The sequence below is a fragment of the Homo sapiens genome, chromosome 1, assembly GCF_000001405.40.
Source record: "Homo sapiens chromosome 1, GRCh38.p14 Primary Assembly".
In the NCBI taxonomy this organism is placed as follows: domain Eukaryota; kingdom Metazoa; phylum Chordata; class Mammalia; order Primates; family Hominidae; genus Homo; species Homo sapiens.
This window is the reverse complement of record NC_000001.11, coordinates 233,137,895-233,150,898: the sequence shown is the minus strand read 5'-3', so window position 1 is coordinate 233,150,898 and position 13,004 is coordinate 233,137,895. Positions and strand designations below refer to the sequence as shown.

Genomic DNA, 13,004 nt, shown 5'->3' with positions numbered 1-13,004 from the left:
TAAATATTATTATTATGGTTTGGTGTTAATTGAGGACCTTTCTGTCAAGAAGAGAAGGCACATTTCACACTGATTCTGCCGAGTTTCTCCCGCTTTTTGAGGAAATGTGAAGGACACATTTTTATTCCCACTGAACTAATGAAAAAAAAATCAATGGGATGGTTTTGGGGAAATGAACATTAAAAATATTGGAGTAAGACTTTGTATCAAATGAATTTCCAGATGTATTAAAGCTTTAAAATGTTTTTTAAAATGAAGGAAGAAGAAAGAAACCAGAATAGCACTGCAAGAAAATGTAGGTCAAGTTATATCATCTTGGTTGAGGAAGAGAAAAAGAATTTTCTAAGCATGATGCCAAAGTAAAAACCCACTAATTAAACAAATGAAAGTTTTTATTCCTTGAAAAACATAAACTTTAATATTCTGATTCTCTCACGTTGCTCTTCCCTACCTTGTATTTCTTTGAGAAATTTACCATGATGTTGAACCTGAATAATGTCTATCAATTCATTCAAAATATATTTATTGTGTTGCTGGGACTGTGTAGGATGCTGGGAACCTGGAGAGTAGATATTCTGAGAAAATGAAATGCCTTGGGCAGAAGCAAACCCAGTACCCTCCAAAAGAAGCAGTACCCACTGTGGGGAAGCACCAGCTTCTCCTCAGACTTTGTTCTACTAGGCGTCTTCTTAATTAAGTTATTAATCCATCAGTTAGTCAGGTGTGTTACCTGAGATTTCCTGAGTGGCCACTATGGACAAAGTCTGAATGCTGCCTGTGACTGAGAAGGACGGTCCTGGCCCCGCTGGCTGTGGCTGCAGCCCTCTGGAGAGATGGTCATTCATCCCACGGAAGAAAGTACAATGAAAGAAACACATAGGGGGTTGGGAGGGAGTGCAAGGGAGTCTTCATTTAGATCTGAGGGGAAAGGAAGGGCTCCTTGAGGAAGTGACGTGTAAATTGAGGCCTAAGTAAAGGAAATGGAGTAGAAAAAAATTTATATATATATAAATTGAGGCTTAAGGATAAGTGGAGGAAGAGGATTGAGGGCATGGGACTGGGCCATGGGCAGCCCTGAATTCACTTAATTGAAAAAGAAAAAATGGTGGACCATGGGTTCATCCTAAACGGAGATCAAGGGCTTTGAGCAGCAAGGATGATGTGACTTCCTTTACCCTGCATTCATTCTACTGGTTTTGTAAGTGAATCCTGTTTCTAGAGAATAAACAACATGTGTACATGTTAGTGCTAAGAACTTGATGATAGCTGAGATTTGACCCAGGAAGACAGATGAGAGTGAGAAAGCTTACAGAAAAAAGCAATTGTCTATAATAAGGGGATGGTAACAGCACAGATGTGTTCATTCCACTTTGCAGAGTCTCTCTGCCTCAGATGCCTCAGGGGTGACACCAGGGATAGTTGATTCAAGCCTCACCCCCACTGAAATGCATCTGGCCCTTATATAGCAGGAAGCCCTCTATCCTTGCAGCTTAAATCCTAATTCAAGGTTTGAATTGGTGAAGATTTTCTTTCTAAAGCTGAAAACATCCTGAGGATTTTTATTAACTTTTAATTATGGAGAAGAACTTATTTTAGTAGCATAAAGAGTCTAAACAAAACACAACCTGAAACCCTTTAAGACAATTTAAAGCTTTTAATTGTAATGAGTTATATATAAACTTGTAAATGGTATAATTAGTTTGCATTCTTTTTCTCAAGGACCTAATATTCCAGAGAAAAGAGAAATAATCATGCTAAAGTATTGGTTTTTTTATGGTCTCTTTGCATATTTGGGACATTACAGAAAGGCAGTTACAAAATATCATTGCAGACTTTCTTTTTGACTTTACTTTGTGTGAACCCTAACACAATCTGGGGATGCAGGAAGCACATTTGCCGTGCTGCTGCATGGGCAAGCCCTCCTTTTTCTAGCCTTTCATGGTTGGTGTATGTGAAAGGAGTGAGTTTAATCTTTGAGGAATCAGAATTCTGGACTTACACTTTTGTTTTAGCTTCTTCTTACATTATTATTCATCTTTTAATGTGTCCCTTTCTACTTCCAACTATAAACATTCAGTATGAGTTTCATTTATCTGTTAAATGTTTTCCTCATCTAGAGACTGAAGCGTGTCATTAGAATAAATTGCTGAGATTGGTAGGAGGATTCTAAGATAAGTAAGAATTAAAGTGAAATTAAGGCCGGGCATGGTGGCTCAGGCCTGTAATCCCAGCATTTTGGGAGGCCAAGGTTGGTGGATCACTTGAGGTCAGGAGCTCAAGGCCAGCCTGGCCAATATGGTGAAACACCATCTCTCCTAAAAATACAAAAAATTAGCCTGGCGTAGTGGCACACTCATGTAATCCCAGCTACTTCGGAGGCAGAGGTTGCAGTGAGCCAAGATCCCGCCACTGGACTCCAGCCTGGGCAACAGAGTGAGACTCCATCTCAAAAAACAAAAAAAAAAAAAGAAAAGAAAAAAAGTGAAATTAATATCCTGTCAATATGCAGCGTTAATGGAACCTGAAGTCAAAAGTTTGGGCTTGGTGATCTCTGGGTTTTGTTCTCTACTTTGTCATTTCTTGATATTTATTTTAACTTGTTTCCTCACCTTTTCCCATCTCTGCTTTGACTAGATGTTGTACTCAACACCCACCAGGAAAACCGTGCCTTGGGATGAATCTTTACCTGAAATGTTTTATTTCATTCCCGCTTGCTGGTGTGTGCTCATAGTGTAAACACATTTGCTGTCCTCTCATCTAGAGATGCAGAATTAATCCATGGAAAGCAGTGGTAGTTTTTATATGACATTTAGATGTCAGAAGCTGTCACTTTCATTCCTTTGAAGTACCGTGGGCAGTAAACTAGAGCTGAATTATGCAGTTCAACCTGGTTTCTAACTCAGTATTTTTTTGTGACTCTCCTGTTCCTATAAAAATAATAGTAAAGGTTTTGTAACTTATGAATTAACTGGTTTCCAGTTCCCCAAAAGATTTTTTCCCTTCAAAAGTCCAACGTAGAGCTCCTTTATAGCTATCATCTTGCTTTGCTTCTAAGTAGAGATTCAGTTATCACCTCTTAAAGATCCCTGGCCTCAGCCCATCTCCATATGTGTTATTGTGGCCATATAGAATGCAGGGCCTGCCAACAAAATGCTGTTCTAATGTCAGACAGCAGAATGGTACTTACAGTCCAAGTCTTCCTAAAGATTAAATGTTTTAATCACTTGACTTAAAGTTGTGTCTATGATATACGGTTGACCTTGAACAACACAAGTCTGAACTGTGTGGTCCACTTACACATAAATTTTTTTTTTTTTCAGTAAAAGTTATACCTAGTGCTCCTGTCTCTCCTGCCTTCCCTTCCACTTCCTCCACCTTTTCACCTCTTCCACCCCTGAGCCAGCAGGACTACCCCCTCCTCTTCCTCCTTCTCCTCCTCAGCCTACTCAACGTGAAGATGATGAGGATGAAGACCTTTATGGTGATCCACTTCCACTTAATGAATAGGAAATATATTTTCTCTTTCTTATGATTTTCTTAATAACATCTTCTTTTCTCTAGCATGCTTTATTATAAGAATACAGTATATAATACATATAACAGATAAAATATGTGTTAATCATCTGTTTATGTTACCAGTGAGGCTTCTGATCAACATTAGACTAATGGTAGTTAAGTTTTGGGGGAGTCAACGTTAAATTCGCACTTTTGACTGTGCAAGCGTTGGTGTCTCTAACCTCCCCCTTGTTCAAGGGTCAACCATAGTTTCACGTGCTCACACACACACCCCCCAGGTAGTTCAGATGGTTAGAATCTCACTGAATAAGTATTTCACTCTGAAATATTTGGAAAGGCATGGATAGTGAATTCAGAGCTTATCAGTGCTGTCTCTTTTATTTGAAATTCATTGTTTTATGTGTTTCTGAGATGAGTAAACTGAAATTCTTATGAAAAACCTACTTTTGTTGCCATGACCTGTGGTAAATCCTTGTAGACTGTAATGGGATTATGTCCCTCCACTCAAATCAATCTATCTCCACTCACTGGAAAATGTCATTTTCTAAAAGTAAATGTGACAAGCTTTTGAAAATCTAGTTCTTACTCCCCCATCCAAATGGTGCCCGGGCTATTCTACAGTGATGACCCAGCCACTCAAATGTTTCCTTTAATTCATATGTTTTTCTAATAGCACTGGGAAGAGATTGGCTTATATTTCTCTTCATTTACATTTTTTTTGCAGGAATATAGCTAAGGTTGTCATGTCTCTCTGAATTGGTGACAAATGTTGATAGAACTCTGTAAATGTATTTTTATAAGCAGGCTGAATTGCATTTGATGTGATGGCCTCAATCTGACACTGTTGATCTCTTATAAACTGAGAAATCAGAAAAAATAATTTTGTACAGAAAGAAACTTAACTGTAACTGATTGTACTTTATGAGAGATTAAAATAGGAAATGTTGTTTAATACGCTAGTTACTTTTTTTATTTCATAATCAGAAAAGTACTTCAAAAAGACTGCTTTTTTCCCCCAGAACCTCTGTTAAATGTAATTATCCAGAATTCCCTCAACCACTAAAAATGATAAGGTAATAATCATTTACCAAACCCCAACTCTCTGGCAGACATTCTAGTAGGTACATAGTACCTACCCTTAACAAATTCAGAATCTAGTGGGAAGATTCGTATTTAAGTGAATAATTACTCTATGATGTGACACTTCCTTAAATTATAGAATTCACAGGGTACAGTGATGGCGTGAAGGAATAACATTCTTTGCGTTGAAGCTAGAAGTAATAATACAGGTTGAGTACCTCTTATTTAAAATGCTTGGGACCGTATTTCTGATTATGGTTTCTTTTGGATTGTGGCGTATGAGCATTTCTTTAGGTGTCATGTCAGTGCTCAAAAAGCTTTGGATTTTGGAGCATTTCAGATTCCAGGTTTTTGGATTTGAGATGCTACACCAGTATATACAGAGCACCTGGCTCAATGTCTGGCAGACACCTAATGGTTATTCCATACATGGGACGTCAGTAGAGCACCGAAGGTAAGGAAGTGGTGGGGTCTGCCCAGGAGCAGTCAGCAAGGGGGTGCATGGCTTATAAAGAATTTTAAAACAATAAAAATACCAATTAAAAGTTACCCCTTTTTACTGTTACCATGTACTGAGAATTCTAAACACTGTCAGTGGTAAATCCTCCTCCTACCAGAATGATGCTTCAAATGCCCTGCCCCTGGCAGCCTCCGGTAGTGACTGTATTGGAAGCAGGGGGCTCAAAGGGGCCTGAGGTCTCCAGAAGGCGAGATGCCAGCCCTGTAAACAGATTAGGAATTTCTCAAGCAGAAAAGACTCAGGGTCATTCCAGGAAAGCATCTAGCACACGTAGAGGCACATAAAACATCACAGTTCACTCCAGTGCTGGGGGAAATAGAAGTTGTTTTCAATAAATGGTGGCAGTCAATCAGATATTAACATGGAAAAAAATGAGTCTTGGCCCCTGTCTTACACAATACACAATAATCAATGCTGGATAGTTTGCTGATCTAAATGTGAAAGATAAAGCAATAAAGGTCTTAGAGAAAACCATAGGAGAATGTGATCATGATCTTTTTCTCTTAAACATAGCACCGGCCAGGTGCAGAGGCTCATGGCTGTAATCCCAACACTTTGGGAGTCCGAAGCAGGCGAATCACAAGGTCAGGAGGTTGAGACTATCATGGCTAACACGGTGAAACACCGTCTCTACTAAAAAATACAAAAAAATTAGCCGGGCGTGGTGGCAGGCGCCTGTAGTCCCAGCCACTTGGGAGGCTGAGGCAGGAGAATGGCTTGAACCCGGGAGACGGAGCTTGCAGTGAGCCGAGATTGAGCCACTGCACTTCAGCCTGGGTGACAGAGCAAGACTCCATCTCAAAAAAAAAAAAGAAACAAAAAAAAAAAACAAAACAACAACAACAACAAATAGCACCGAAGGCCCTAAGTGGGAAAAAATGAGAAGTTGTAATATATTAAAATTATGTATTTCTTTTTTATAAAAGATACTATTAAGAGAGTGAAAATCTAACCATAAAATGGGAGAAGTTTTTCTTCATACATATACTGGCTAAAGACTCATACCTAGAATGTATAAAGAACTCCCAAAAATCAATAAGGAAAAGACATATAATCCAATAGGAAAAAGAACCAGGCAACAGAATGAAGAACTACTTCACAAAAGTGTGTATCCAAATGGCCAGTAAACATGTAAAAAGATACTCGTCTGCATGAGTCATTAAATAAATGTTAAATAAAACCATAATATGATACCACTCTACACAGGGCAGCATGGCAAAAATTAAGAAGAGAAAAAACATTTTGGCAAAGATGTGGAACAAAAAGGAACTCTCTGGTACCATCTGCGAGAGTGTAAATTGGCACAATACCTTTGGACAATTATTTGTCATTATCTGCTGAAGCTTGCTATATGCACACCTGATAACCTATGAATTCTACACCTAGTTATGTACTCTATAACTAGGTTTTGATGACTGGAGTAAACTTAAAAAGTTACCTGACTGAAGTAAACTTAAAAAGAAAAGGAAGATAAGGTTGTTGAGAAAATGAGTGTAGCTACATTTTTAAAAAATGAAAATATTTTCCGGGTAGTGCCTGGAAAATAACCAGCATCTGAAAGAAAATGTAAGGCCAAAAGAGGGTATTTTTTTCATGTTTTTGAGACAGGGTCTACGCTCTGTTGTCCAGGCTGGGGTGCAGTGGTGTAATCACGGCTTATTACAGCCTCAACCTCTCGGGTTCAAGCAATCCTCCTACTTCAGCCTCCCAAGTAGCTGGGACTACAAGCACACACCACCATGCCCAGCTTATTTTTAAACTTTTTGTAGAGACAGGGTCTCCCTATATTGCCCAGGCTTGGGGTATATTTTTAATGGAAGATATTATAGCAATTTTTTTTTCTGATGAGAATGATTCGGTAAAGAGAAAAAAATCCAAGTAATGCAGGAGAATGGGGGATCATTGCAAGAAACAAGTCCTCAAGTAGAGACAGATAAGAAGGATTAGAATACAGTGTACACATCTGGCTGGTTTAGGAAACAGTTTATCTGCATAAAAGATAATTATAATTTTTTAGGCAAAAGTGATTAAGAGCATGGAAGACAGAAAAGAAGGGATAGACATGCAGAGAGTGAGCACATGGAATCAACCCAGTTTAGTCCTTCAGTCCTTTAGTCTCCATGTATAGAGGAAGATCATCCAGAAAATGGTTCTCAAACTGGAGCATGTATCAGAATCACTTGTAGGACTCGTCAAAACACAGATTGCCTTGCCCAGGGCCCAATCCGCAGAATTTCTGACTCATTGGGTCCAGGATTGAATCTGAGAATTTACATTTGTAACAAATTCCTAGGGGATGCTGGTACTGCTGGCTCTGCTGTTCCTGAAAGTATTCCCTGAGGTCCAGGAGTATTTGCATCACTTAGAAGTTTATTAGAAATGTAGAATGTCTGGCTCCATTCCAGACCTACTGCATCAGACTCTGCATCTTAACAAGGGACTTATTTGCATGTTGATGTTTGAGAATCACCATTTAGGACAGTGTTTTTCAGCTTTGCCCCGAAGTGATTTCAACGTACAGCTATGAGAAGTGAGAAGAGCTGATTTAGGATGACTCTGGGTATATTGTCTGCATGGCTAAGTGAATGCAAGAATGTATGAGGAAGAGAAGGTGTGTACAGGTTGACAGCATTACGTTTGTGACATGTTGTATTTGAAAGTTCCTTTGGGACATCAGATGAAGCTATTCAATTGATTATTTAGATCTGAAGTCCAGGAGAAAGATGAGATATTGAGTTATAGATTTGAGTGTCATCAGCATGGAAGTAATAATTAAAGTTACGGGTGTTGAAGACATTAGCTCAAGAAGATAAGAAAAATAATAGGGGGAGAAGGAAAGCAGATGACCAGGGATAGGGGAAGAGGAGATGACAGAGGAAATGGGAGAAGAGTAGAGCAAAAGGTTTGAGCACAAGCTGGGGATGGTGGGATGGGGAAGCTAAGGGCAGAGTGAGTTTTCAAAAGGAGGGAGGATTTAGTGATGTTTTATGCGTCAGAAAAGTCCAGTAAGAGAGACTGAGAAGTATCAGTTATTTGACCATCAGGAGGTCACAAGAGGTCCTGCCACATGCATGTCAGGGCAAGGGTAGCTGCAAATACCCAGGGGCAGAGGTGTCCCCAGTAAGTGGGAGACACAGAAGTGGGAACATCAGATATTGACAAGCTTTCCAAGAAGCTGAGAAGTACAGAAAAGGCCAGAGTGAGCTCTAGAAGGAGGTTCAGGGTGGAAGGTGAGTTTTCCACACAGAGAAGACTGGGATCTTGCCACTTGCCTTGGGAAAGAGCTAGTGTTGAGGCAGGGAGTGGCTACTGAACCAAGATGGCAGGAGCACAGGATGCAGGACATGGATGGAGCTTGGCTTCAGGAGGAGCCAGTAGTAGATATGAGTATAAATGAATTTGTAGTTGGAGGGCATTTGTACCTCATAGACTTTATTTTCTCCCGAAAGTGGAGGTCAAAGACAGTTGCTGGGAGGGAATGCAGGAGTGGTCTTGAAGATTTTTTTTTACTACTCTACTACTGTAAGATGACTTGATGCTATGTGACAGCCCACATGCTTTCACAACAGATTAAAATCCTTTAATCTATATGTAAAATGTCTAATATGTCTAGACTTTATTGTGTATAAAACATTCATTATGAAATAACACATTTCCAAATCTACTCCAGAAAAAATTATACTTTGTCCATTAAGAATATTCAACATTGAATTCCTGCCCAACATCCTTGCTCTTTGAACTTTATTCTCCTCCCACTCTTCCTCCCTGTTTCATCTGTCACTAAAACTTCTTTTTATTTTTATCTGGATGATTTCTCATTGTCTCTTCTATTTATTAAGCTCATTGTTGGAGTGTTTGTACTGATAATACTTTATTTCCAATATCTTGAAGGACTTTCACGCTGTCTATTCTCACCATTCCTAGCCCATTCGAATGAATTCTTTTCAAGTAAGATTTCTAAATGCCAAGTCTCTCTTCATATACACACACACACACACACACACACACATATACATATACACACACATATATACCCATATATATATATACACATTTACACACACAGATATATATATACACACACATATATATATATTTTTTCTTTTTTCTGAGATGGAGTCTCTCTCTGCCACTCAGGCTGGAGTGCAGCGGCACAATCTCGGCTCACTGCAACTTCTGCCTCCCGGGTTCCGGGTTCAAGTGAATCTCCTGCCTCAGCCTCCAGGATATCTGGGATTACAGGCACATGCCACCATGCCCAGCTAACTTTTGTATTTTTAGTAGAGTCGGATTTCGCCATGTTGGCCAGGCTGGTCTCCAACTCCTGACCTCAAGTGATCTGTCCACCTTGGCCTCCCAAAGTGTTGGGATTACAGGCATGAGCCACCGCACCCGGTCTCTCTTCATATTTTTAATCAAATGAAAGTAGTTTTGTTTTTGAGTTACCAAGATGATATATTCTTATATAGAAATATGAGCCATATCAAGTAGAAAGTAAAATAGTTTCTATTTGTGTGTGTGTGTTTATGATACTTCCTGAGATCTGTCATGCAGAGCCCCAGTGAAGCTGATTGGAAACAGACAATTTGTATGCTAATCTTGGATAAGAGACCTGGAAGGAACAGGCTGTTTTGTCAGCTTGAACTTTTTCTCTTTTGTGAGTTGTTCTTGTGCAACCCAATGTAAAAACTACATAACTCTCTTTTTAACTCTAGGTCATTGTAGGGTAAAGTTTTTTTTTTTACTATAAATTGTTGAAGAATGTGATTCCAGAGGTGTAATGGAGTTGCCTGGCACCTTGCAGCTTTAAGCTTTGAGGCTTGCTGTGGAGAGCATGAAGCCCACAGCAGAGCTGGTTCATTTGCTGGTAGGTGGGGGCCCACTGCAGCCTCCCAATTACTGACAGACAGAGAGGAGGGGGCAGGGAATGAGAGGGGCCTAGCCGAGGGCCCTGGGCCTGAACCTGCTGTGCTCTCCTCAAGTTGGGAAGCAGAGGAGAGTCCTGGCTCTTGTTCCAGTTCCAAGAGGCAGGGATGAAGCATTTCCCCACCGCTGAATGTGACCTAAGGAAGTTTGTGCTCTGACCACTCACGCCAGCTGCTCCTCCTCCCCAGAGAGAAAAGCACGGGCTCCCCAGATGGGCAAGCATGCATTCCTCATTACCCCATCTCCTGCCATGAGGAGTAGGAGGTGGAAAGAACCTCTTCCCCATCAGCAGACTCAGAGGATGGGCAGGACACAAAAAACTAAGGCTCGAAAAGATGAAGCTAATAATTCAAGGTCATTCACTAGTGGTTGGTAGAGACTGAATGCAAACCCAGGTTGGTCTAACTTAAAACCTTAGCCCTTAATGGAAATAGACTTCAATCTTTGTGGTACTTCCTTTGTTGTAAGCACTCAGAAGAAGGTAATAGATTCATAGTGGCTGGGGTTTGGGAGTCAGCTGTGTCTTATTTGCATATATTGCCCAGGGATTTGTTTGTGGTTTAAAGATTAAAAAGGGAGAGAAGAAAGCCCAGAAACTAGCTTCAGCCACAGAAGTGAACCCTAGCTTAAAAGGAGACAGACATAAGGGATTTTTTCCAACTCTTCATCCTTCACCTTCCACCCTTACTACGCTAAGATGACTTGATGCTATGTGACAGCCCATTCATTGGTCTCAGTAAATTATATATGAAGAAATCAATTGACTTGAACAATTGGGATGCTGGCCTATATTACTGTATGTATATTATTATTTATGAACTGTGTAGAAGCAAAGCTAACAGTTGCTGCCTGGAAAAAAATGGTATATCATGTCTAGTATCACGAGTTCTTAATTAGCAGCTTTTGAATTAAAGGGGGGGAATATTACTTATTATTACCTGTACTTAAAGAAAAATACTTTGATCGGTGGTTGTTCTAAGTGGTTTTTATATTTCTTTCAGATGTTGCCCATTTAATGTGGTTCGAAAGACTCTATGTTTGGCTTCAGTGTTTTGAAAAATACATCTTGTACCCAGCGCTAATTTTGAATGCCCTCACTATTGATGCATTTTTAATAAGCAATCACCGGAGACTTGGTACCCAGTAAGTGGTTAATGGTTTATCTTCATAATGATTTGGGTCACATTTTCAAAATCGAGTGAATTTTCTGTAAACAATCTGCAGAAGAAGCCAACCTTTACCGACTGTGATTGGCCATGTAAAAATAAGCCATGGTGGTCTTTTACTCAAAACCCACTGGAGCTAGACAGTTATTGTAGAATGACTGGGGTGCAAATGAAGTTAGATCTGCTTGAAATGATATTGTGAATAAATGTCAGTAGATTTGAAAATCATCCTGCAGAAGCTTAGTCAGTGAGCCTTAATAAGAAGACGGAAGCACAGTGTGAGTCCAGGATTCCTGGAGTTCTTAACATCATGCTTAGAGCTTTATGAACTGCTTCATGTCATTTCATTTAGCAAATACTCTATCATTTTGTGCTTGTGGGAGGGGGAAATTAATCACTGTCACTGCTGTCTCTGAATTTATCAAGAGAAGCCTCGTAATTTAAAAACTGGCACAGAGACTTCATTCTGTCAAGATGCCCATGTCTTTCAAAGCATTAACAATGTACAGTCGAGTTATTGGTTTCATATATTAAAATTAATTCTGAATTTACAACATGGAAATCTCCTTGATAATCTGTAGATTTGTCATTCTGATGAAAGGCAAAAGTTGCTGGTCAAAGAAGTTGTTAGAGTAGGAGGATATAAAAGAGATTCTTTCCCAGATTTGCTCATTAGTCACGTTGCTTAAACACTATGTATCCAAGTCAACCCTGATGCATAATCCCAAACATGCTAATTCAAACCTGCTCTTCCTTTCAGGGTGTCATGAGGACAAATTAATTAATATTCTCCAAAGATTGAGCAGGCTAAGATAAAAGGCATTTTAATACTCTGTTGGACTTTGAGTAGATTCATAGTCACACAAAGCAGACACTAAATGAAATGATCCCATAACCTGTCCTTATTGAACTCTGCCTTCCTTCTAGTCCAGACCTGTTTCTGTCAGACCAGGGCAAGAATTCTATGTTCTTTGATACTTAAAATTCTAGACTTCAAATCCAGAGATGAGAATTAGTTTCACTGGATTTAGAAAAGCAGATGATTGGACTTCAGACCCCTTATACAGTTTAAGTGGGACCCAATCTAGGAGATGACCAGAATTTAGAACTTTGTGAGCTTCTCTAAGGCAGGGATTCCCAGTATGGTACAGTCCTGGTTGACCCTGCAACTCCCCCTGAGAACAAGGTAGAGCCTCAGTTTCTCGAATGGGAACACATATTCAAAGCCAGAGTAGCAAAGAAGGTACCAGTGCCACTCTGGGAAATTGAGCTAAAGGATTTAAAGTTTTCCCTATTCAACTTCAGGACAAGGACCTTGAGCTAAGCCTGTGGGGTTGAGGCCAAGTTGTTAGAGAAGGCAGATGCAAGGGCTAAGACTCTAGCAGAGTCAAATAAATAATTCAGAGAGGGTCCATTTAGAAGTAATATTATTCTCCATCCCCTGTAATTTTTTTCCAGACACTAAAGTCAGAAAGGTGCACGTTATCTATATAGCTGTGAATATCCTCAACTCCCAGATGATCACATCAGCAATTGTTTCACTCAGAACCCAAAGGTGGAAATTCCTTTCTATTCCTGATGCATCTGTAGAATTAAAAACAAAACATTTTTCGAGGTTTCAGGCACCCTACTAGACCAACTGTTCTCAAACAGGATAGCAGGAAACTCTATATTGGTATCACTTTGAGACCTTTTCTAAACCAGAGAAGCCCAGCCCCTCCCTGTGATTTTTGAGAGCCATTGTACTAAATAGTCACAGAGTGAACTTTTCAACAGCAGGCACTGTTTCTTATTCA

The 13,004-nt window shown here is 39.7% G+C and overlaps 1 protein-coding gene across 8 annotated transcripts in view; it reads left to right on the top strand.

The window, feature by feature from the left end:
* Positions 1 to 13,004, top strand: part of PCNX2 (pecanex 2) — a 343,895-nt gene that overhangs the window by 176,431 nt on the left and 154,460 nt on the right. For all 8 annotated transcript variants that reach the window (XR_001737430.2, XM_047430870.1, NM_014801.4 and 5 more), the window contains one exon: positions 11,044 to 11,185. Coding sequence is in view for 7 of the 8 variants with exons in the window: in XM_047430870.1 (XP_047286826.1) it covers positions 11,044 to 11,185 (142 nt within the window). In the remaining variant the exon portion in view is untranslated. The remainder of the gene's footprint in view (positions 1 to 11,043; positions 11,186 to 13,004) is intronic.